Here is a 22,153-nt window from a genome sequence, read left to right as displayed (position 1 = left end):
ACCGTGTTAGCCGCATTTTTGTATCTTGAGTTTGTAATGTTTAAGAAAATTTACCTTCTTAGTAACAGTTTAGTCTCATGACATTAGTTTAAAGTGTGAACTGAGTGATTCCTTAAGTGTGTGATTTTAAGTGGAAATCTTACAAAATTAACTTACAGGGTTAGAATACAGGAGACTTTAGGGTTCATCATATTCATAAGTTTAACATATTACATTGATAAGAACTTAAGTTTTAGGAGGATTTTGTCAGTCAAACAAGCACTTTAAAAGGAAATTGAACATATTACATTTATAACTGTAGTTTAAAATGTTTAAATGAGTTTAATTAACCAAGTTTGTACATGGAATCATCCATGAACCAAAGTCTCCTTTAAAGTGGTTGTTACAATTTTGTAGACTTACACAAAGAATAATGAAATGTATAAGCTGAATGTAAAAGCTTAAATTGGTTTAAATTTGGCTCTTTAAGGAGAAACAACAGAATACAGTGGTTGAGAGCTTGGTTGCTGCGGCCAAACTACCAGGGTTTAAAACCTAGCATTTCTGTTTAATTGTTGTATGATCCTGGACCGGGAAATTGACCTGGCTGTGCCTCAGCATCCTCACCTGTAAAATGGGAATGCTGACATTAACAACATGCTAAATAAGTTAATAGGTGTAACCTCTTAGAATAGTTCCTGCCATATAATAAGCACTCATTAAATGTTGGCATTCGTTACTAAGATATTGAAAATCTTATTTCTAAAACTAAGCCTGAAATAGTCTTTTCTGCATACCAAAGCCTACTCATAAGAACATCAAAGACCTCACAGTGACATGCATGTCTATATAAGGTGCTTCTGACACAGCTCCAAGAAGTCCCTTGACAAGTGAAAAATTCAGTCGGTTTTTCTCTCTTTAGTTCTAAGTAGGTGGCGTCACTTCTCTGGGCTGGTTGAATGTCGCCAGTGCCTGTGCAGGTGGCACCACCTCCAGAAGTGGCTCCAGTCTTCCAAATTGGTTTCAGCGGCTCTCTACTCTAGACCAGTGAGCCTCTGGCATCACCTGTCTGAGGACATCTGCCAGCAGCAAAACCTTTTCGTAGCACTTCCTTAGTGAGTGGTCATGTTTGGTATCTACTAATTCAGAAGCTATGTAATGTGAATTTGAGAGCATTTTTCTTTCGTGTTTTAAACATCTTTCAATTTTATTATAAATATTTTTAAATATAATTAATCATTCCACAGGATAGGGAGTTTTGCCTTCAGTAATGGCAGTACTCTGCCATAATTCAGACTAAACCTTTCACTCAGAACTAGAGAAGCTGGACATGACTTAAAATATATCAGTTTGAACAGGGCCTTGAAGAGTCAGGATGTCAAGAACCAGCAGAAGAAGGAAGCCTAGACAGATGGGCCTGGCACTGAGGGGCTAGACTGACCATAAGAGTATATGACAGAGCCAAAGAAGGTAGGTGGAGCGTGCAAGGCTGGAGGATGAAATCTGGGGTTCAGGGCATAGCAAAGAAATGGAAATTACTAAACACACTTTATGCTTATAGTGGAGACCCAGTGGGCTAACCCCTTAAAGTAAGGGTGAACCAAATATATACCATCCCTTGTAGGAGTGAACACTTAAAGAAGAAAAATGAGATGGAAAACTTTTATTGCTAGACATCAAGACTTACAAAGCTACAGGAATGAAGACAGTGTGTAACTGGCGAAAGGATAGACGAATAGACCAAAGCAACTGAAGAGGAAGTTCAGAAACAAAATCACACTTACACAGACACTGCATTTTTACAAAGACGGCACTGCAGGCCAGAGAAAAAAAGACAGGTTTTTAAAATAAACAGTGCAGGCTATCCATAAGGGGAAAAACTTGAATCTTGACATTAAGCAAAAGAAGTGAATTTCACCGGGCGAGGTGGCGGGCGCCTGCATTCCCAGCTACGCGGGAGGCTGAGGCAGGAGAATGCCGTGAACCCGGGAGGCGGAGCTTGCAGTGAGCCGAGATGGCGCCACTGCAATCCAGCCTGGGCAACAGTGAGACTCCGTCTCAAAAAAAAAAAAAAACCAAAAAAAAAAAAAAAAAGAAGTGAATTTCAGACAGATGATTGGCCTAAACGTGAAACAAAAAAACTTCCAGAATATAACACAGAAAAATAGCTTCATGATTTCAGGGTAGGTATGATTATTTAAACAGGATGCAAAGAGCACTAGCTATAAAATAAAAGTTTAATAAATTGGACTACATTAAAATTTAGAACTTCTGCTCATCAAAAGACAGCTTTAAAAAATTTATTTATTTATCCATACATTACGTTGACAGAAAGAAGCCAGACACAAAAAAATTCATATTGTATACTTCCATTATGTAAGGTTCAAACGGGCAATACTAATCTATGATGGTTATTTTTGGGCAAGAGGTTTGATAGGGGCTCCCGAGATGTCAGTAAAGTTCTATTTTTTATCCTGGATTACTGTTATATAGTGAGTTCACTTTTTTTATTTTTTATTTTTTTTAAGACACAGGGTCTCACTCTGTAGCCCAGGTTGGAGTGCAGTGGCACAATCATAGCTCACTGCAGCCTTGACCTCCCAGGCTCAAGTGAGCCTACCATCTCAGCCTCCAGAGTAGCTAGGACTACAGGCGCATGTCCAGTTAATTTTTGTATTTTCAGTAGAGACGGGGTTTCACCATGTTGCCCAGGCTGGTCTTGAACTTGTAGTCTTAAGCAATCCACCTCAGCCTCCCAAAGTGTTGGGATTGCAGGTGTGAGCCACTGCACCTGGCTGAGTTAACTTTTTGATAATTCATTTTTGGTCTTCATTCACTTAAGATTTTTGCACCTTTTTGCACTGATATTTTTCAGTACAATAATATATTTTTTTTTAGTTAGAGAGACCAGTACAATGAACTCTATCTAGATTCATTCAGATTCAACAATTACCAGTGTTCGCTTCATCTGTTTTTTTTTTTTTTTCTGGTATATCCATGTATCAGATTACTTCACCCCTACACACACCAGCAGGAATCTTTAGGAATACAGACAATTTCTTACATAACTACAATGTCATTTTTGAATCTAACAATTTTCACAATAATTACTTGGTATAATTTCATATTTGTGACTATATATTTTAAATGACTTTGTGTGATTTTTAAAGAAAATCACAATAGTTCCCATGTATATTTGAAAACTAGTTGTACTCACAAGAGAAAAACTAGAAGTGGCCAATAAACCTATGCAAAATTCTTCTTCATTAGTTATCAAAGAAATGTCAATTAAAGTAGCAATTGAATATCATTTGCCACCTATGGATTATAAGATAGGGAAAAAAATGTAAAAAAATGATCATATTGAGTGAAAGCTGCCCTGCTGGTGAGATTTATAAATAGGTGAATTTCCGGAGGACATTTTGACGATTTGCATCAGAAGTCTTGGAGAGGAGCATACCCGGAAATTCCACTTCTCAGATTTTAACCTAAGGAGAAAACCAAGCAAACAAGTCTGGAAAGATGCATGGAAGTAAGTAACAAACCACTGTTAACCAGAGTGAGTGCTGGAAGCAATATCAAACATAAAAATATCCCCAACAGTAAGTAGATTGTGTTTTTGAAGGAAAACATCATATATATGATGTTTATATATATATAAAGAATGTAATACCATGAAACAAGCTAAAATGATAAATTGAATATACTTTTATTATCATGGAGATGTTTACAATGTAATGTTTAATTTTAAAAGATTATAACACAGCTTGTGCAATATTTCATTTCTGTAACATGCATCTGTGTATGTAATGTATGTGTGTCAAGTCTTAAGATACACTTCAAAATACTATAGTTTTCTCTGGATGGTCAGACTAAAGGTGATTCTAATTCTTTTTGCTTATGTGTACTTTCTATTTTTCTATGATTACTTTCATAATAAAAATATTTTAATGGAACCATTTACAGATACATGTGGGCAAGATCATAATAATAGCTACCATCTTTTTAGTACTTACCATGTGCCAGGCCCATTACAAATATCATCTAATTGAATCTCATTACAAACTTGAGGCAAATACTGTTATAATTCCCATTTTGCAGATGGAAGAACAGGATACATCTGTAGTAGCTTGTCTTGCTCTGAAGCCTTTGCTGTGCTTCCCCACCTTTCTGATGCCTGGCTTTGCTGCATAACTTGCTTTGGTCAATAAATTATGAGCAGCAGTGATGTAATCTACTTCAGAGCAGAAACTTTGAGTCATTATGTGATTATGTGATTCTGTCATTTAGTTTTTCATTCTGCTACAAGATCAACATGTCCCAGATAGGGGCTATTTCCTCAGCCTGGTATATACTAAGTTTTTTTTTTTTTTTTTTTTTTTGTGACGGAGTCTCGCTCTGTTGCCGATACTAACTTTTTGATAATTCATTTTTGATCATTCATTCACTTAAGACTTTTGCACCTTTTTGCACTGATATTTTTCAGTACAATAAATTTTTTTTAATTAAAGTTAAACTTGGGGACTGTGAGTGGGAAATTAAGCTTTCATTTGTTTATTTATGCTACTGAGATTTGGGGGTTATTTGTTACTGCAGCACAATTTAGCCTAGGCTGACTGACACCAACCAGGTTAAGTAAATTGCCTTAAATCACTGAGCTATTAAGTGGATGAACTGGAAATGAAACCGAGTCAGCCTTACACCAGAATCTGTCCAATTAACAAGCTACATAAGAATTTATTCTGTCTTTTCATTGTGCATTTTGCCCTTATGATTTTGACAATCCTTGCAATTACCCTGTGGCTCCTATGCCCAATATCTTAGGTCTGTCTTCTGCGTCTTTTTGCATGTATGTAAGCAATCCGATCCTGAGCTCCAGTCTTGAGCTTCAGATTTTGGCAAGCACATTAGTCAGCGTTTTCCAGAGAAACAGAACCAATAGGCTATATATAACGAGATCTATAAGAAGAGTTTTATTATAGGAATTGGCTTACGTGATTATGGAGGCTGAGAAATCCCACAGTCCACTGTCTGTAAGCTGATAAGGAAAGCAGGTGATGTAATTCAGTCTAAGTGTGAAGGCCTGAGAATGGGGGAGCCTGATGGCATAACTCCCAGTATTTGTCTGAGAGCTCAAGGACCAGGATCACCCATGTTTGAGGGCAGGAGAAGACAGATGTCTCTCCTCAAGCCAAGACAGCAGATTCACTCTTCCCCCACTGTTTTGTTCTATTCAGGCTCTCAGCAGATTGGATGATGTTCACCCACATTGGTGAGAGTGATCTTCTTTACTCAGTTAACCAATTCAAATGTTAATCTCTTCTGGGAACACCCTCACAAACAAACCCCAAAATAACGTTTTACCAGCTATCTGAGCATCCCTTAGCCCAGATAAGTGGACACATAAAATTAACCGTCATAGCAAGGAACTAATTCCAAATAGTGGCAATCTCCCTATAGCAGTCTCCCTTATAGCAGTCTCCCTATAAACCCAGGAGACCGAGCACATAATTATTTCCTTATTGCTCTATCAGTTTTGAGATTCCACGTATTTTCTCGGACTATAAGGCCTATGTACACTTTTGAGGCTATTTAGAGAACTGGCAACAAGTTCTTTCCATGAAGTGTGCAAGAAGAAATTGGTGAACAGAAGTTGTAACTAAAGATTTGGGGCAGGAAGAAAAAGAAACATTTAGCCTTGGAAGTACACATCAAATTATTCAGGATGCAAATACAGCTTAATGGTAGTATCCAAGGCAACTCTGGAGCAAGACTTCATAATTGCTGAATTCAACCAGGGTTCAATGAGGAGTTAAACACCAACCTATCCAAGTAAAAAAAAAAAATGGGGTAGCCAACCAGATAATCTCCCTCAACTCCACACTCACCCATGCATCATTCAGTTTCATCTTAGTCTCAGGGAGTCCCTGCCTCCTCCCATCTCTGCCCTGTAACACGCACACACATGCACTATCATTTTTTTTGCATATTACAGTCAATCAATAAATCTACTGTATTTAGAATTACAGGGTTGTAAAGCTAGAAGAGATCTTGGGTATCATCTTAGTCAAACTCTCCCATTTTACAAATGATGGAACTGAGGCGCAAAAATCATTAGTGACCTGCTCAGAGTCAAATTTGAACTACTCAGTTGTAGACCTCAGAGGAGAACTTAAGGTACCATACTCCAGTGTTCTTTTCAGTCTACTGTATTGCATTGTTAATTCAAGAACACAATGAACACCCAGCGTGAGCACATGATGAGAGCCTGTGTCTACAAAAAATACAAAAATTAGCCAGATATAGTGGTTCACACCTGTAGTCCCAGCTACTTGAGAGGCTGAGGTGGGAAGATCACTTGAGCACGGGAAGTCGAGGCTGCTGTGAGCCATGATCACACCACTGTACTCTAGTCTGGGCAACAAAGCAAGACCCTGTCTCAAAAAAAAGGAAGAAAAAAGAATACAATGAACAGGTTTTCTTTTGAAGTGACGGAAATGTTTTGGATCTAAATGTGTTAGTTGCGCAACAATATAAATGTACTAAATGCCACCAAATTGTATACTTTAAAATGGTTCAATTTACGTTCCGTGAATGTTCATGCTGATAGAAAAAATCATTACAAAAAGAATATGATGAGAATTAATTATGTCAGAACCCATTATTAATTGTACACAAATAAGTCCACCTGAACAGCATTAACCCCTAAGGCCAACGTTACTAATTCAGTCCCCCAAAATCATGGTGGTCTGCTGCACGACACTGGGTAAATAAGGCTCAATGTGTTGGCTTTCATCTCTTCATTTTAAGCCCAGCACTGTTGTTTCCACGGTACTGTAATGTCAGGGAATTATATTTAAGCCATTCTTAACTCCTCCAGCCCACATTGATCTTTCCCTTCTCTGAAACTCCAGCACTTATAACCTAAACTAGATGATTTAGAACTTAATTACGTTCTATCTTGTGCAGTTCTTTAATTGTTTGATGTAGGATAATCTTGTCTTACGATAAGACTGTAAGAACTTTGAAGTTAGAGACTCTTGTGTTAAATTTATTTATTAATGCATTCATTCATGAATACATCTAAAACCACTTTTCACCACCTATTGTGTGCCAGGTGCTTAGAGAACAAGACACATCACCCAACAACAAGGAGCTTGGTGTCTGTGAAATCTCCTCTGTGCCTGGCATGATGAAGGAGCATGGTACTTCAGCATCCAGCCTTAAAACTGAAAGACTTTGTCTCACTACAGATTCTCTTTTCTTGGGTTCCCTATTTCAGGTCTCAGTGAGAACATCAACTTTCCTTCTCAATCGCTTTTCCATGGCCCTTCTTTTCTTCATTCCCTCTGATGCTCCCTGGTGGGAGCTTTGCAGGAGCTTTCAGACAGATCTCCCTGCTTGTCCACCCACTGCTAACTCCACCTCCCTATTGCAACAAGAAAGATCTTTCTCAAACTGTGCTGTGAGTCTATCACTCCCTTATTATAAAACTTCCCACTGGTTTCTCTGTGTGCTTAAGAGAGATGAAGCCCAACCCTCTGTCAGGCTTGCAACACCCTTTGTTTTTGCACCCTTCTGATTTATCCAGCCTCATCTTTCCCTGTTTCCCCCATCATCCATCATCCAAGCTCCAGCCATCCTAAACTTTCTGCAGTTCCTCATCCTATGCCCAGCCTCTGATCCTTTGCACATGTTCTTCCTTCTTCCTGCAGCGCCTTCCTTTCTCCCCTATCTCCTCTGCCTGCTAACTAACTCCAGCTCATTTTATTGGTTTTAGCTTGGACATCACTTCTTGCTCACTGGCCTCTCTCAGGAGCTCGGAAGTCCTTCTGCATTTTCAGCTTCCCATGCCAACACCTTTATCATACTGCATTAGAATGTTCTGTTTCCTTGTCCATATCTCCTTTCATCTTCTATACCAATTGTTCCATGAGGGCAAGGACTAGGTCAGCTCGTTTATGGCTGTCATCCCACAGTCTAGCATATAATAGATGCCCAGTGAACATCTGTTGAAGTAACTGAATTTGATTATATTGAAGATATGATTGCACTAAAGAAAAAAGATACTAATTGTGTCAGAAGCATTTTGAACCAGTGTGACTCCATCTTGTATAGGGGCTGGGTGAAATAAGGCTGAGACCTACTGGACTGCATTCCCAGGAGATTAGGCATTCTAAGTCACAGGATAAGATAGGAGGTTGGCAGTGAGGGTGACCAGAGGTCACTTTCATCACCATCTTGGTTTTGGTGGGCTTTGGCCAGCATCTTTACCACATCCTGTTTTATTAGCAGGGTCTTTGTGACCTGTATTTTGTGCCAGCTCAGACTGCAGTGAAACTGCTGATTTTCCCTTACACGGTTGCCTGGTGGGTTGCAAGTGAGAAATCCAAGATCAGGCTCCAGGAGGGTGTGGTGGAAACCACAGAAAAAGCCTGGAGCCTTTGCACAGGCCAGGGAAGAGTGAGGAGGGGAAGGCACTGAGATTGGGGTGGAGTACCCAAGGAAAAGTCAAAGGTCAAAGTCCTCTCTTTCACTCTGTGATATCTAGTCCTGATCACTCACAGAAGTCTATTGAACTCAGTGACACTTTGTGCAGTGTCTGCCCTGCCCTCAGGTAATCATGGGAAAACCCCCAAATTCCCTCTCAGGTTTGGTATTTTATGGAATGCTAAATACCAAGGCTGAAGATTTTCGCATAGGATTGTAGGCAGGATAAAATTCTGAACTCAGGGTTCAGGACTCCCCTCATAGTACAGACCCTGGGGCAAAAGAATGTCACAGGACTCGCTCTTGGCACAAAGAAGGTTGATTTTCTTCATCATGAGAAGCTACACTTTGCCCAGTGCGGAGGAAAGGCTTGCAGACACTCCCTCGGCGCCTGCTGGTCCTGGCTAGGAGGAAGATGAGTCATTGTGCATTTTTCCCTGAGCTGGAGGCGGAGCTGACTGAGCAGTCCCAGCTCCCGCACAGCTTTCAGAAGGGGGACCTGCACACATCCTGCCAGCTTAGCCCCTTAATCACCTAAGGGATGTCTTAAGGTCTAGCTTGTTAATGCCCGCTCTTTCCTATTCCAAATTATTGCCTACCTCTGTTTTCTTGGTTTTGGTCCTGCAAAGTCAGGGGTTTGTCACCAAGGGACTGTCAGCAGGGAGTGTGGCCTCAGTGAGTTGCAGATTCACTTAGGGATGTCCCCAGCCCTCAGAAGTGAGATAAAGAGCAGCCCTAAGCGCTTCTCCTGCCGCTTCTCCACCTCCCCGACTAGTAAATTGCTCAGAGGAGAGATCAATGGGTCCGAGAGAAATTTCATTTCTCTTCCTCCCTCCGTGGGGTGTCTTTGCTGCCGCATCCTCCCGGCTGTAAATGCAATTCAGGAACTGGCTACAGTGAGCGGTGGGTGTGAGAGAAGGAACTCTCAGCATGAGCCAGAAGGGGTTTTCTTTTACCTTTGTCAGCATTGCACCTAATGATACCACGATGTGCCATTTTACATCACGGCATGTCAGAAATCAATGGGCCACCTGGGCGGTTGGCAGGTGGGGAGACAGAAACAGAGACCGCATCTTGGCAAGCTGGGGGAAAATGAAAGCTTGACTCGGCTGTGCCAGGGGCCAGGCCTTTTTGCTTTAAATCTCTCTTATCGTAGCCCCACAACACAGGAAGAAATGCTTATCTGCTTAATGCTTGCTTTCCCCCACCAAGTGGTAAACTGCAAGAGGATAGAGACTGTAAATAAATGAATGAATGAAAGAGATAGCAATGGGGAGAGATGTAGGACATGAGGGTCCAGTTCATTTCATGTCGTGTAAACAGAAATAATTATTTTAATTTTCAATATACTTACATGGCAACTAAACTTCTTACCATAAAAAATAAAGTGATATCTGTACAAAACATAAACCATTAAGTCCATGAATAATTCAGTCTGTCTTGGGATGATTTGTCTGTGCATTGGAAATTTGGATTAACTGCCTTCATGCCCAAACTGACTGCAATGGCTTTGTATTTTGATCTCATATACATGTTGCTTCTGGGTTAAGTAGATACATCTTGGATAGGACTGTTCATTCTCAGAAATAAACTCCTGATCTCAATCATTTAGAGAAAAACGCTTGGAGACGGTTCAGTCCTGCTCAAGAGTAGCCCTGCCACATCAAACTTCCAGGAATGCCAAGTGGGTCGGTATAAAGATTTGATCCTGTTGCGAATTGGAGCTGGTCCTGTACAAACAGTATGGCTAACTACTGCACAAGCCCACCAGACCACCACTGGTCTCCAAATCTCAGCTTTTCTCGGGCTCCTGCACACTCACCACACCATCTGCTCTTTCCTTCTGAGTTGAGTCACCTGCTGACCCGATGCATGGAGATTGGACCAAGTTCCCATGAATTATTTTCACCACGTGGTGAAAATATTTTCAGGAATGGGCACAACACTTTTTTGTGATTGTTCAGCTTCTTTGCACAGGGCATTTTGACAGATTTGTGGTTCTTTTTTTATCTGCTATATTTCTGCTCAAGAAAGAAACATTAAAACTGTCACATGGCCACTGAGTAGCAAAGAGCCCTCGTAGACTCCTTTTCTTCCTATCCAATCTTGCACCCTCACCCTCCTGCCAACCCCTTCCTGCCTCACCTCTCCTGGGGATGAACAATGGCATGGCCCTTGCAGAGGTGGTCAGGCACCCTTAGGGGGTTACCCAAATGAATCCCAAAGGTTCTACTTGCCCCATGTGCCAGCCATGGAGCCTGGACTCTTATTTTGAGATTCATTCCTCCATCACTGGTAGAGTTCAGGGTCTCTAGCATGGTTCTGTTATATCTTCCAGGGAACAGCTCAGCCACTTGCCTTCCAAAGTGACAGCCCATGGAGGAATGGGCATGAACTTTAGGGAGAATGGGTAATAAGAAAGAGGCTTGCCAGGAAGACCAGGGCTGTGGGCAGTGGTGGGGGGGCAGCTGGAAAAGAAAGAAGGCAACAGGTACTACAAGGAAGAATGGAAGAGTAGCCACAAGAGTGCCTTCCTCCTTCAGAGAGGACCACAGCATGCCTGGGGACAGGTCGCCTGAGCCCCAGGCGGTGGCCCAGCAGTTGACACTCCCTGGATCAGCTGGAAGAGTTCAAGTTCAAGGTTGTTATACAAACAAGCAGCTCCTGCTGCCTAGACTATCCCGCCTCCCATCAGTACTGCTCCTGAGCTCACCCCAGGATGACACAGACACACCTTTTAGATGCCACGTGTCACACCACTTCCTGTTTGGCTCAAGTTCCCTCCTTTATCCTCTTTGCCCTGAGATTTATTATTGTGCAGCGATCGCGTTGAATTGCATTCAAAATCAATTAGCACAGGTACTCAAAGATGAATGCTTAGGCTCTGAAGAAAGGTGATGAAAACATACCATTTAAATAGAAATCAATTTTCCTTTCATGTATTTCTTCCTTGCTGCTGCCCAAAATTAATAGTTTTTGGACATTTTTGTGTAAAGGGAAGACGTCTTTCACATAAACCATTTCCGCACTACCTCCTCTTGCCTCCCTTGGCTTCCACTGTAAGGCATATTCCCAGCTGGTAATATTACTGCATTAACTGTCTCCACGGTGATATTTAATGCAATGGTCATTTGAATAAGCTCAGCAGCACAAGGTGCTGGGTCAGCCTGGGAAAAAGGCCTTTGGACTTCTTGCATTGTGTCAACAGCAGGTAGATGGTTTGGGAGGCAGTCACTCCATTCCCACAACATCCAACATCAGGGCGGCTGACAACAATGTCCCCATGACATGCTCAGCCCTCTCTCTGCCTTCATCTTCATCAGAAATTCTGAGTGGAAAAATTAGATTCTCCATGAAGAGAGGCTGACAAAAAAGAGAAGTGAAGAAACTGTCACTCAGGGGAATCAGAACCTTTTTCAAATGTGGATATCAGAGCTGCTACAAATGGAGAAAGAGAGATAGAGAAGGAACTCTAGCAGTAAGGGTGAAGAAATGGTTAAGTTTGTGATAAATTAGCCCAGGAAGCCCTTCTCCAATTCCTCTTTGCTTCTTTCCTACTACTTCTCTCCTCCCCAGGAGCTAAGGCACTTACTGCATTCCAAGCATTCTGCCAAGTAGTTTGTGTATTTGGCCTCTCTTAAACTTCTCACCAACCAGGTGAGGAAGGGGCTGTGATAACACCTATTTTATAAATGAGGAAACTGAGGCACAGCGAGACAAAGTGACTTCGTTCAAGGTTATAATGGTTAATTTTATGTAACAATTTGACTAGGCCATGGGGTGCCTGGTTATTTGGTCAAGCATTAGTCTGGGTGTTTCTGGATAAGACTAACATTTGAATCTGTGGAGTGAGTAAATCAGATTGCGCTCCTGAATGGGGGTAATCCTCACCCAATCCTTTGAAAGCCTGAGTAGAATGAAATGCTAAGCAAGAGAGAATTTTTTCTCTACCTGACTGTCTTTGAGCACAGACCGAAGCACACTCTTCTGATTTCAGAGTCTGGCTGGGACTTGTAGCATCAGGTCGTCTCCTGGTTCTCGGATCTTGGAACTGCTCAGCCTCCATACTTGAGTCAATTCCTTGTAATAAAAATATATACTGGTTCTGTTTCTCTGGAGAATCCCAACTACCAGGAAAGTCATACAATTTGGACCCAGAAAATCTGATTCTGGATGGGTTCTCTAAAATGCCTGTTCTCTGCCTTTTGTTAAAGGCACAGACTTTGGAATTGTTATAGAATCCTACGGGGATTTGTTGAGGGGGTGGGGGGACATTTCCATGTTATCTCTAAGAAGCCCTAGGTCTTGGAACATGCTTAGAAAACCTCTCAGCATTCTGAGCTTCAGGGGAAGTTTTGTCCATACAAACTGTCAGGACAGGGATAAGACTACTGTGGGACGGGGGGAAGGGCCACAGCCAGTGGACACTTAAAATTGGCCTCTGGTGCCCACATGTAAGGCTGACATGGCCTCCATCCCTTTGGGGAGTACAGAGGAAATACTAGAATTTTCAGGCAGAAACCTGACATCCCTCTAGGGGAGCATCTGGATCCCTGGGACTGTCACCTTCTAGGGGAGCATCTGGATCCCTGGGAGTGTCACCTTCTAGGGGAGCATCTGGGCCCCTGGGAGTGTCACCAGCACTGCCTTCCTGGTGGTCACCCTCACAGACCAGAGACACAGCTCATAATCACCCTCAGCTCTTTGCCTTCAGTTGTAGACAAATCACAGCCTGGCTGAGGAAGAAAGAGCTGCCCGATCAGGGCACTTCAGTTTCTGGAGTCTGGTGAGGTATCCGACCAATATTCACCCAGTTAAATTTCCCTGGGGCTGAGGAGGTTGGATGTACCCTGTTATCTTCCCTTACTGTTTTAGAATCCAGTGTGGGAAGGAATCCATTACCAGGGAGGTCTGAATGTTCACTCTTCACTGAGCTTCAATTTATATTTTTTCTTTTGAAAAAGGAAAGGGCTTTCTTCAGTTGTTGTAGGCATGTTTCTATGCTAGAGCTTTAAATTGCGCTTCCTTAGTTCTGTTTTCAGGAACACGCAGTTCTCCCCTGCCAGCCTTTTCCAAAGCACACTGAATGGAGCATTTTAGAAATTTCACTGCAGAATGTAATTATTGTTCAGACCCATTCCAGATACGTCTGGCACTCATTTTCTCTCCTCATTCTCCTTCATTAAAACATATAATCAGATGAAGGGGTTGCCATGAATGGGAAGAAGAACTTCCTGGTACTCAAAGGCAGCGTCTCTTCATTAAAGAATGTGTCAGTCGCCCACTAGGAGAGCTCAGGGAGGCATTAGCTGTGGCTCTAGGACTGTGAAATCTGACTGCAGAGGACCTTAAAGCTTGACTCATGTATGGGTGGTAAAGATGGCATCAAGTCATCAGGCTCATCCTGCTCTTGACTGCTGGTGAAACTGGCTAGTGTATTTGGACCTGAAAGAATCTGAGACACCTGAACTCATCCTGGATCCAAGCAGCATAATACAGAGCTCCCACCGAAATGCTCTAAGGGCCCTTCTGTGTAGGCATAACCTAAAATCAAACATCAAAACAAAACCTGTACAGCCAGAATTTAAAAGACTGACAATACCAAGAGTTGACAACAATATAGATCAAATGGAATACTCACATGTTAATGGTGGGAATGAAAAATGGCACAGCCATTTTGGAAAGCAGTTTGGAATTTCTTACAAAGTTATTTATATACTTACCATGAAACCACACAAACTAATTCTTAGGTATTTGCCCAAAATAAATAAGAATAAATATTCACACATTAACTTGTACATGAACATTCAGAGTAGATTTATTCTTTTTTTTTTTTTTTTTTTTTTTTTAGACAGAGCCTTGCTCTGTTGCCAGGCTGGAGTGCAGTGGCGTGATCTCGGCTCACTGAAACCTCCAATTCCCTGGTTCAAGCGATTCTCCTGAGTCAGCCTCCTGAGTTGCTGAGATTACAGGCATGCACCACCACACCCAGCTAATTTTTGTATTTTTAGTAAAGATGGGGTTTCACCATGTTGGCCAGGATGGTCTTGATCTCCTGACCTGGTGATCTGCCTGCCTCGCCTCCCAAAGTGCTGGGATTACAGGCGTGAGCCACCATGCCCGGCTGATTTATTCTTAATAGTCCAAAACTGAGAGCAACCCAAATGTCCATGAACAGATGAATATGTCAACAAACTATGGTATATCCATTCAGTGGGATACTCTTCGGCATTATATAGGAATGAACTAACTGATACATACTGATGGATAGATTTCAAAACATGTTGAATAAAAAAAGCCAGACATCAAAGAGTGCAGATTACATATGCTTAACTCTAGAAAACAGTAATCTAATCTATAATGACAGAAAGTAGATCTGTGATTAGCTAGGGCTGGAGTGGAGGAAAGTGACAATTGACTGGGAAAGGACTTAGAGGGACTTTGGGGGGTAATGGAAATGTCCTCTATCTTGACTATAGTGGTGATGGCATGGGTATATAAATTTGTCACAACTCATCAAAATTTACACTTAAATGCATTTTACTGTATATAAATTATACCTTAATAAAGTTTATTTTAAAAGTGGGGTCTATGTCTCATGGTTCTGGGACCTGAATTAGAGAATTTATTCAGCAAATTGATGGAAAGAGAAACTTAAAGTTCTCTTAGCTTCTGTTTCTTATTTAACAGAGACAAAGGACCAGAGGGGTTGAGACTTGCCCATCCTTATATGGTTTCCTAACTTACAGTACTATCTTCTTTGCGGTAGACCTCTGGATGCTCACTCTGGAAGTAGAAATTAGATGTCCTAAAATGCCAGCATGTTGCAGAAGGGAAGAACTTGACACCACGAAGCTTAGCATTGGGTCCTGAGTTGGGGCCTCTCTGCCTATCTGAGGGAGTCATCTCTAGGCCTTCTCTCCTCCCCCTTATCTCTCTTTCCACTGCCCAAATCTTCCATATCCTCAAGGCCCAGCTCTTAGGTATAGCCTCCTAGGATTACCCCCAAAACTGCCCTGCCTTCTGAAATCCCTCAGTATTAAGTAGCTGCAGAAAAATATCTTGAGTTGCTATTTAATTCTTTCATTACTATTTTCATATTCCCCACATCTGGACACATAGTAGGTCCAATGAATACTTCCTGAGTAAATGAAGTATTTGTTGAGGACAACATCTACACCCAGTGGTATTGGATGCTGAGGAAGACACAGGGGAAGACTGATATCCAGTCCCTGGAACTCAGGAACCAAATGTCTAGAAGCAGAGTTTCAAAGGGAAAGACAGTGTTAAAGCATCAGGAATGGTTCTCAACCTTGGCTGCACAATCACATGGGAAGTTCTAAACTGCAGACACCTGAGTTTTCTTGCAATTCTGATATAATCAGTCCAGAGTAGGGGGCTACACAGTCAGAGATTTTACATTTCTCTAGATGATTTGAACATGTAGCTGAGGTGCAGAACCAATGAAATAGAAGTTGTAATCTGCCTTCTAAACTCTACTCATTAGCAAAAATGAGACTGTGTCAGAGCCTTCTTTGAACACGAGGTGTGGTATCAGAAGGCAAATCATCTTTGCCTCTCCAAATTCCTGAAGAAAATTTGTGACATCCTCCCCCAACACACTTGCCCTACCAGCTGCTCTATTAGCATTTCCGAGAGAATTTCCAGAACTTTAATGTTCATTAAAGTCTTTGGCAGGGATCAGCAGACAAGATTAGAATTAGACAAAAACTCTTTCTTTTGTTTGGCAAAGGGAAAAACAGCTGATATTCACAGCCTTGGGAAGCTCCTCCTTTAAGGGAAGTGTGGCACAGGGTGCTTGTTTCATCGTTAATTGTGCCATTCAGCTCTGGGCCCTTGAAGAGAGTGTACCAGGTGACTCAAATGCTGTTACTTCTACAGAATAGAGCATTAATCATTTAGCAGTTGTGGAAAGGTCTTGAAATCCAGCTGAAGTTGAATTAATCACCCTAATATTTATAGAAGGAATCAAAGATTGGTAGAATTGTTTCTTGGGACTTCGGGCTTCTGAACCTAGATGTCTTTTTTGGGAAACTGAGTGCTCTATTATTCTTCATTCCAGTTGGCTCAACAACCTAAGACTGTGTTTCTCAAAGTGCAGTCCCCAAATCACCTGCGTTATAGTCACCTGGGAGACTTATTGAAAACACACATTTTTGAGCCTCACCCCAAATCCTCTGGATCAGAGATACTCTGGGGGTGGGGACCTGGAATCTGAGTTTTAAATAAGCTCCCAAGGTGATTCTTCTGCCTCCTTAAGTGTGATGAAATCTGATACAATGGAATAAGCACCATGTGTTGAGTCAGGAGGCCTGACCATGAGTTCCAGACTTTAACATTAACTAGCAGCGTAAAAATGGGCAAGTCAGTCTATCTGAACCACCATAAAAAGACTGTTGTGAGAGTTAAAAGAAATACATGTGAAGATACTGTATACAGTGGGTCCTGCATAAAGTCTAGATGAATCTAAAGGTGGCCCTCTGCTTGATTCATTTATTCTTAAACTTTTATTATGCAAAATTTCAAATATATACAAATGTAGACAGAATAGTATGCACCCATGACCGAGTTTCAGTAATGATCAACGCATGGCCAGTCATGTCTCACTAGTGCTCCCTCCCTGCGTACTCCCCAAGTTTTTAAGTAAACCTCAGACTTATTATTATTTTACCTCTGAATATTACAGTGTATGGCTTTACAAGGTAAGAATTATTTTAAAACTAAACATTATCACACCTAAAATATTGACAATATTTTCTGAAGATCATAAAACATCCATTCGGTATTCAAATTTCTCTAATTGTCTCATACACACACAACACACACACACTACAGTTTGTATTGGTTGAAGTATCTCTTATATCTTTTTAAAATACATGTTCTTTCTCCACTTCTTTTTTTTTCTTGTAATTTTGCTTGTTGTTATGGAGAAAACTGTCTTCTGTAGCAATGGTTCTCAAAGCGTGGTCTCCATCACTTGGAAGCTTATTAGAAATGCAAAATTGCAGGTCCCACCCCAGAACTCATGAAACAGAATTGCCTAGCTCCCAAAAGCTCTCCAGATGATTTTCTTTTTTACTCTTTTTTTTTTTTTTTGAGATGGGGTCTCACTATGTTGCCCAGGCAGGAATTGAACTCCTGGACTCAAACAATACTCCTGCTTCAACTTCCCGAGTTGCTGAGATTACAGGTGTGGGCCCCTGCACCTGCCTTTCCAGGTGATTTTCATGTAGTTAAAGTTTAAGATGCATTTGTGACTGATTCCTCTTGGCGTCCCTTAAAATGGTCTAGTCTTCCCTATGTTAATGTAAATTAGTAGTTAAATCTAAAGGTTTGATCAGATTCATGGCTATTTTTTTTTCTTGCAAGACTACTTTCTAGGTGAAGTTGCTCACCTTCTGCTTTAGATCACATTTGTATTTATATCTTACCTGTCAATGCAGTGGTCACCCTTTGCTTTAGATCACGTTCGTATTTATATCTTACCTATCAATGCAGTGCTTTGAAAATAGATCAGTCAGTATTTGCAGATCAAAGAGCAAACTTCTGCCAAACATCATTCCCTATTTTTCTAACTATTTTTAGTATAATTTCTAAATACCTCCTAAATTGATCCTCTTTGAAATGAAATCTTCATCTGAAGCAAACATGATTCAATCACTTTGGGAAACTGAAACATTAGTCCCATTAACTTCTTACCACCTTCTAAGGGATTCACACCCACCTGCTCAGGATACATCCACAGATGCATTGGTTATCTTCATGGGGTGGTTTATGATGCACTTGGAAAAGACCTAAAACCCAATGGCTGACCATTGTGCTGAAAACTCTACCAGTTGAGATTCTTTCCTTTGGGTTTAAGGGATCAGCTCTCCAGTTAATTATATTTAAAGTGTAAAATGCTTCTGTGGGTAACAGATTTACCCATTTTCAGTCACTAGTATCTCATGCCTATAGTATGGATTCCCCAGTGCTGCTGTATAAATTGGCACAAACTTGGTGGCTTAGAGCAATAGGAGTTTGTTCTCTCACAGTTCTGAAGGCTACGAGTCCACAGTCAAGGTGTCAGCATGGCCACACTTCCTTAGAAGCTCTAGGAAATAATTCCTTTCTTGCCTCTTCTCGCTTTTGGTGATTGTAGGCATTCCCTGGCTTGTGACAGCATCACCCTGTTCTCTGCCTACCTCTGTCTTCACATGGCCCACTTCTCTTCGGATCTCTCTATGTGTCCTCTGCCTGTCTAATAAGGACACTCGTCATTGAATATAGGGCTCACCCTCAATCTAGGATGATTCCATCTTGAGATCCTTAACTATCTCTGCAAAGACATTGTTTCCAAATAAGGTCACATTCTGAGGTTCCAGGTAAATGTGAAATTTAGGGGAACATCATTCAACCCATGACACCGGCAATATATTTTTTGGCCAGGTTGCTGAGGAAAAGGGTGAGGGAGGTTGAGGAGAGCTCTGGGACACAGTTCACCGTCCAGCTGCCTTCGTGATTGGGAGTTTGCTCAGCACGAGGGTCCCAGTAGACCAAAGGAAGGGGGCAGCACCCAAGAGGAAAGAGATCCACAAAGGAAGGCCAGGAGCCCCTGAGATGACCCATGCTGACCTCACCATCTGGCCGAGGGCCTGCTCTATGCCCATAACAAGGTGTATCATTTTTCCTAATTTATTAATTCTGAGTCAAGATATGGTTTTTCACAAATTCCATCTCATGTTTTATAGAAATGTTCTAATGCATTCTGTCCAACTAATGCACAACCAAAGGCCTGGGAAGTCCTGGGGTATCGCTTGAATCTTGTTTTTAATTTAATAATAGCCTATGGTACTCATTTTTCAACATCTTAAAATCATGTCCAATGAAACTGACTCCTTTTTTTTTTCCTCCCTCGTAATCAACAGCGGGGGATAATGGAAAGCAAAATGCTTATTGTTTGAGAATGCACATCTCTTTGTTCTCTTCAGCCCAAGCAGCTGTAGCTCCATAAGCATCAGGAAGCTAACTTCCTAGACAGGGGAAGAATCAAATACTGATGACTTCACTCTCAGCTTCCTTAATCTTATTTTTCTTTTTTTCTGATACCATCCTCAGCTTATTTCATTTGTTGCATTTGTTGAACACCTATTGTGGGCAGGTTGGCATGTGCAGAGATGCAAAGATGAGCACAGCATAGTCCTAGTCTGTAAGAATCTCACAATCCAGCATGAGAGATGAATCAGAGCCATCTCCTTACAAATTCAAATATTTAAGGTTTGGAAAGAAACCTTCAGAACCCCACCTTCCTGGGTGTATTTGGTCCATGGCATCCCTCTCTGATCCCCAGAGTTCCCTCTGTTCTGGAACAGCGGGGAAGTAGAAGGAGGTAGGGGTGCTTTTTTGCCTCCTCATCTCCCTGAGATAAGAATTTGGACATTGGTAATAACAGCTAATATTTACCAAAGTTTACTATGTGGCAGGTATTTTCTAAGCATGTTATGTGCATTACTCATCTTCATCTCCATTTTCCAAGAGAGGAAACTGAGGCACAAAGAGATAAATAACTTACCCAAGCTCCAAGACTGCTCAGGTAAAAAGTGAATCCAGGCAGTCAGACCCAGAAACCCTTTAGGAATTAGGAATTTGGCCATTTGCTCTGGAGCTGGTTAGTTCTGCTCAGCCCCCTAAAATCCCTTAAGAGAGGAGAACTCATCCTTTAGGGATAAAACAAACTTGCCCCTGGTCTAGAGGGAGCCCTTCCAAAATGGAGGAGGAGGCTCTGAAGGTTTTAGTTCAGGCCTTCTAGGGAGGACAGCATGAGCCAAGTTTTGGCCACCTGTAGACGTGCAGGGGACTCCTGTTCCCATGCACCATCTTATTCAGCCCTTATTATCACATCCCAATGGTGCAACCAGTTGGTCAAGAAGAAGAAAGAAAGATGAGGATAAGTCCTGGGGTACATGCCCAATGGGGAGTGGACACATAGGTACCAGCACAGGAGAGGAAGAGAGATAGAAGCAAGGGAGGGGAGAGGTTCAGAAAGGAGGGAGGGATCAAAGGTCCAGTACTACAAAGAGGGCAAGAAAGATAAGATTGATAAATGGGCACTGGCGTTAGGGTGTCAGGGTATTTGGAGTTAAGGAGAGGGCTGGCTGGTTAAGGCAGAGTGGATAAGAGTGCACCCCTGGGACCTGGGAGTTGGGGGAGTTTAATGAATGGTGGCAGAGAAAATCCTAAGGATTAGCTTCTCTGGAAGGCTGAGAGGTTGGGAGCTTGGTGGAAGGGCTGGTCAAGCTAAGGCAGGGCCTAAATAGATAGGGCCTTAATAGACACACCATGCAGCTAAATGGTGGAGCAGAGGCCTGAAGGCGAAGAGGGGGTAGGTGGGTAGGGACTGAGTATTCCAGGGATCCCTTGGGAACAGGAAATGCCTGGAAGATCCAACGATAGGGCAACAGGACAATATGGCAAGGCACATCCATATGGTGGCATGTTTTGCAGCCATGAAAAATGACACCTCTGAAAGATATTTAACAACATGAAAAGTGTCCCCATAAACAGTATAGGGAAAAGAAGCATAGAAAACTATATGGTATGATTCCAATTTCCTTGAAAATGTGTGCATATTTGCACTGGCAGGAAATACACCAAAATACATGTGCTTTTAAAAATTATTTTCAGTATGTTCCAAGTTTTCTAAAACAAACATGTGTTACTTTTGCTATGATTAAAATGAGTACAGATGGCTGATAGCTTTGGCTAAACTGTAAGTATTTTTGGGCTTTTTATTCTGTTATCTGACTTGGAGAACTGGGAGGAAATGGCTTCTCCCACAGTTAGGTCCATCAAGCAACAGAAGGAACATCATGGGTTGATCATGTGCTATGTCCTCACATCTAGGCTAGGCTTGGGAAGAGATGGGGAAAATGCAAAGTGGCTTTAAAGTCCCTGAGACAGGAAGAAGCACATAAGAAAAAACAGAATGACGATGATATGGCCTTTGCCTCTTCGGAAAGAAGTGTTTGTCTATGAAGCTGGGGTGATTGGAGAAGTGGGACTTCATCTAGACCACGGGGAGTAAAAAGGTTTTGAAGGGCAGTCTCTTGCTTTGGGTTAGAGCCATTGCACACAGGCTTGAGATGGGGAGAGCCAGAGGTGTGCTGGGTTCCAGAAGTGAAAAGAAGACTCTGTCCAGCTAGTACTAGACAAGCCACTGGAGTCCCAGTACCTGCTGGAATCATCACTACTGAATGTCTGTGCTTTGTGGTTCATACAGGCCACAGCTTCAAGGGGCATGAGAAACAGGGCCCTGGAAACGTGGGCTGCCACAGTGGCTTCTGCCCTCCCCTCCACTTCTGTGATTCATTAACCCTGGAGGAAGGATAGTGCCAGAGAGATGATGAGAGGAGATGAAAGGGAGCAGAGCTTAAATGCTGTCAAAGCTGGGGAGAAAGGGGGACATCTGCTGTCAGACAGCATGTTGCCTCCAACTAGTTTGCTCTCTACAATCCACTCTGACTTTCAGTCTCTGATTTAGGCATTTCCTGCTACAGAAGCAACTTTCCTTCCTTGTCCTTCTCCCAACCTCCTCCCTGCCCCTGCCCCTACCTGATGTGGTACTGGGGCTACCACAGAGACCACTCTGGGCTGCTGTGGGCAAGAGGGTGCACTGGAAGAATGG

The 22,153-nt window shown here is 42.0% G+C and overlaps 2 annotated features.

Annotated features, from left to right (window-relative positions):
• Positions 8,344–9,543: an enhancer, noted in NCBI's record as "CDK7 strongly-dependent group 2 enhancer chr18:54877070-54878269 (GRCh37/hg19 assembly coordinates)". NCBI's record gives its function as "activates an origin of replication core promoter dependent on BRD2, BRD4, P300/CBP, MED14 and CDK7 cofactors, with strong dependence on CDK7, by STARR-seq in HCT116 cells {active_cell/tissue: HCT116}" and the evidence as "EXISTENCE:reporter gene assay evidence [ECO:0000049][PMID:35650434]".
• Positions 9,306–9,415: an enhancer, noted in NCBI's record as "active region_13368". NCBI's record gives its function as "activates an Ori minimal core promoter by ATAC-STARR-seq in GM12878 lymphoblastoid cells {active_cell/tissue: GM12878}" and the evidence as "EXISTENCE:reporter gene assay evidence [ECO:0000049][PMID:35858748]".

The sequence above is a fragment of the Homo sapiens genome, chromosome 18 (genome assembly GCF_000001405.40).
Source record: "Homo sapiens chromosome 18, GRCh38.p14 Primary Assembly".
NCBI classification, from domain to species: Eukaryota; Metazoa; Chordata; class Mammalia; order Primates; family Hominidae; genus Homo; species Homo sapiens.
The sequence above is the reverse complement of the archived record's forward strand: the minus strand, read 5'-3'. Positions and strand labels throughout refer to the sequence as shown.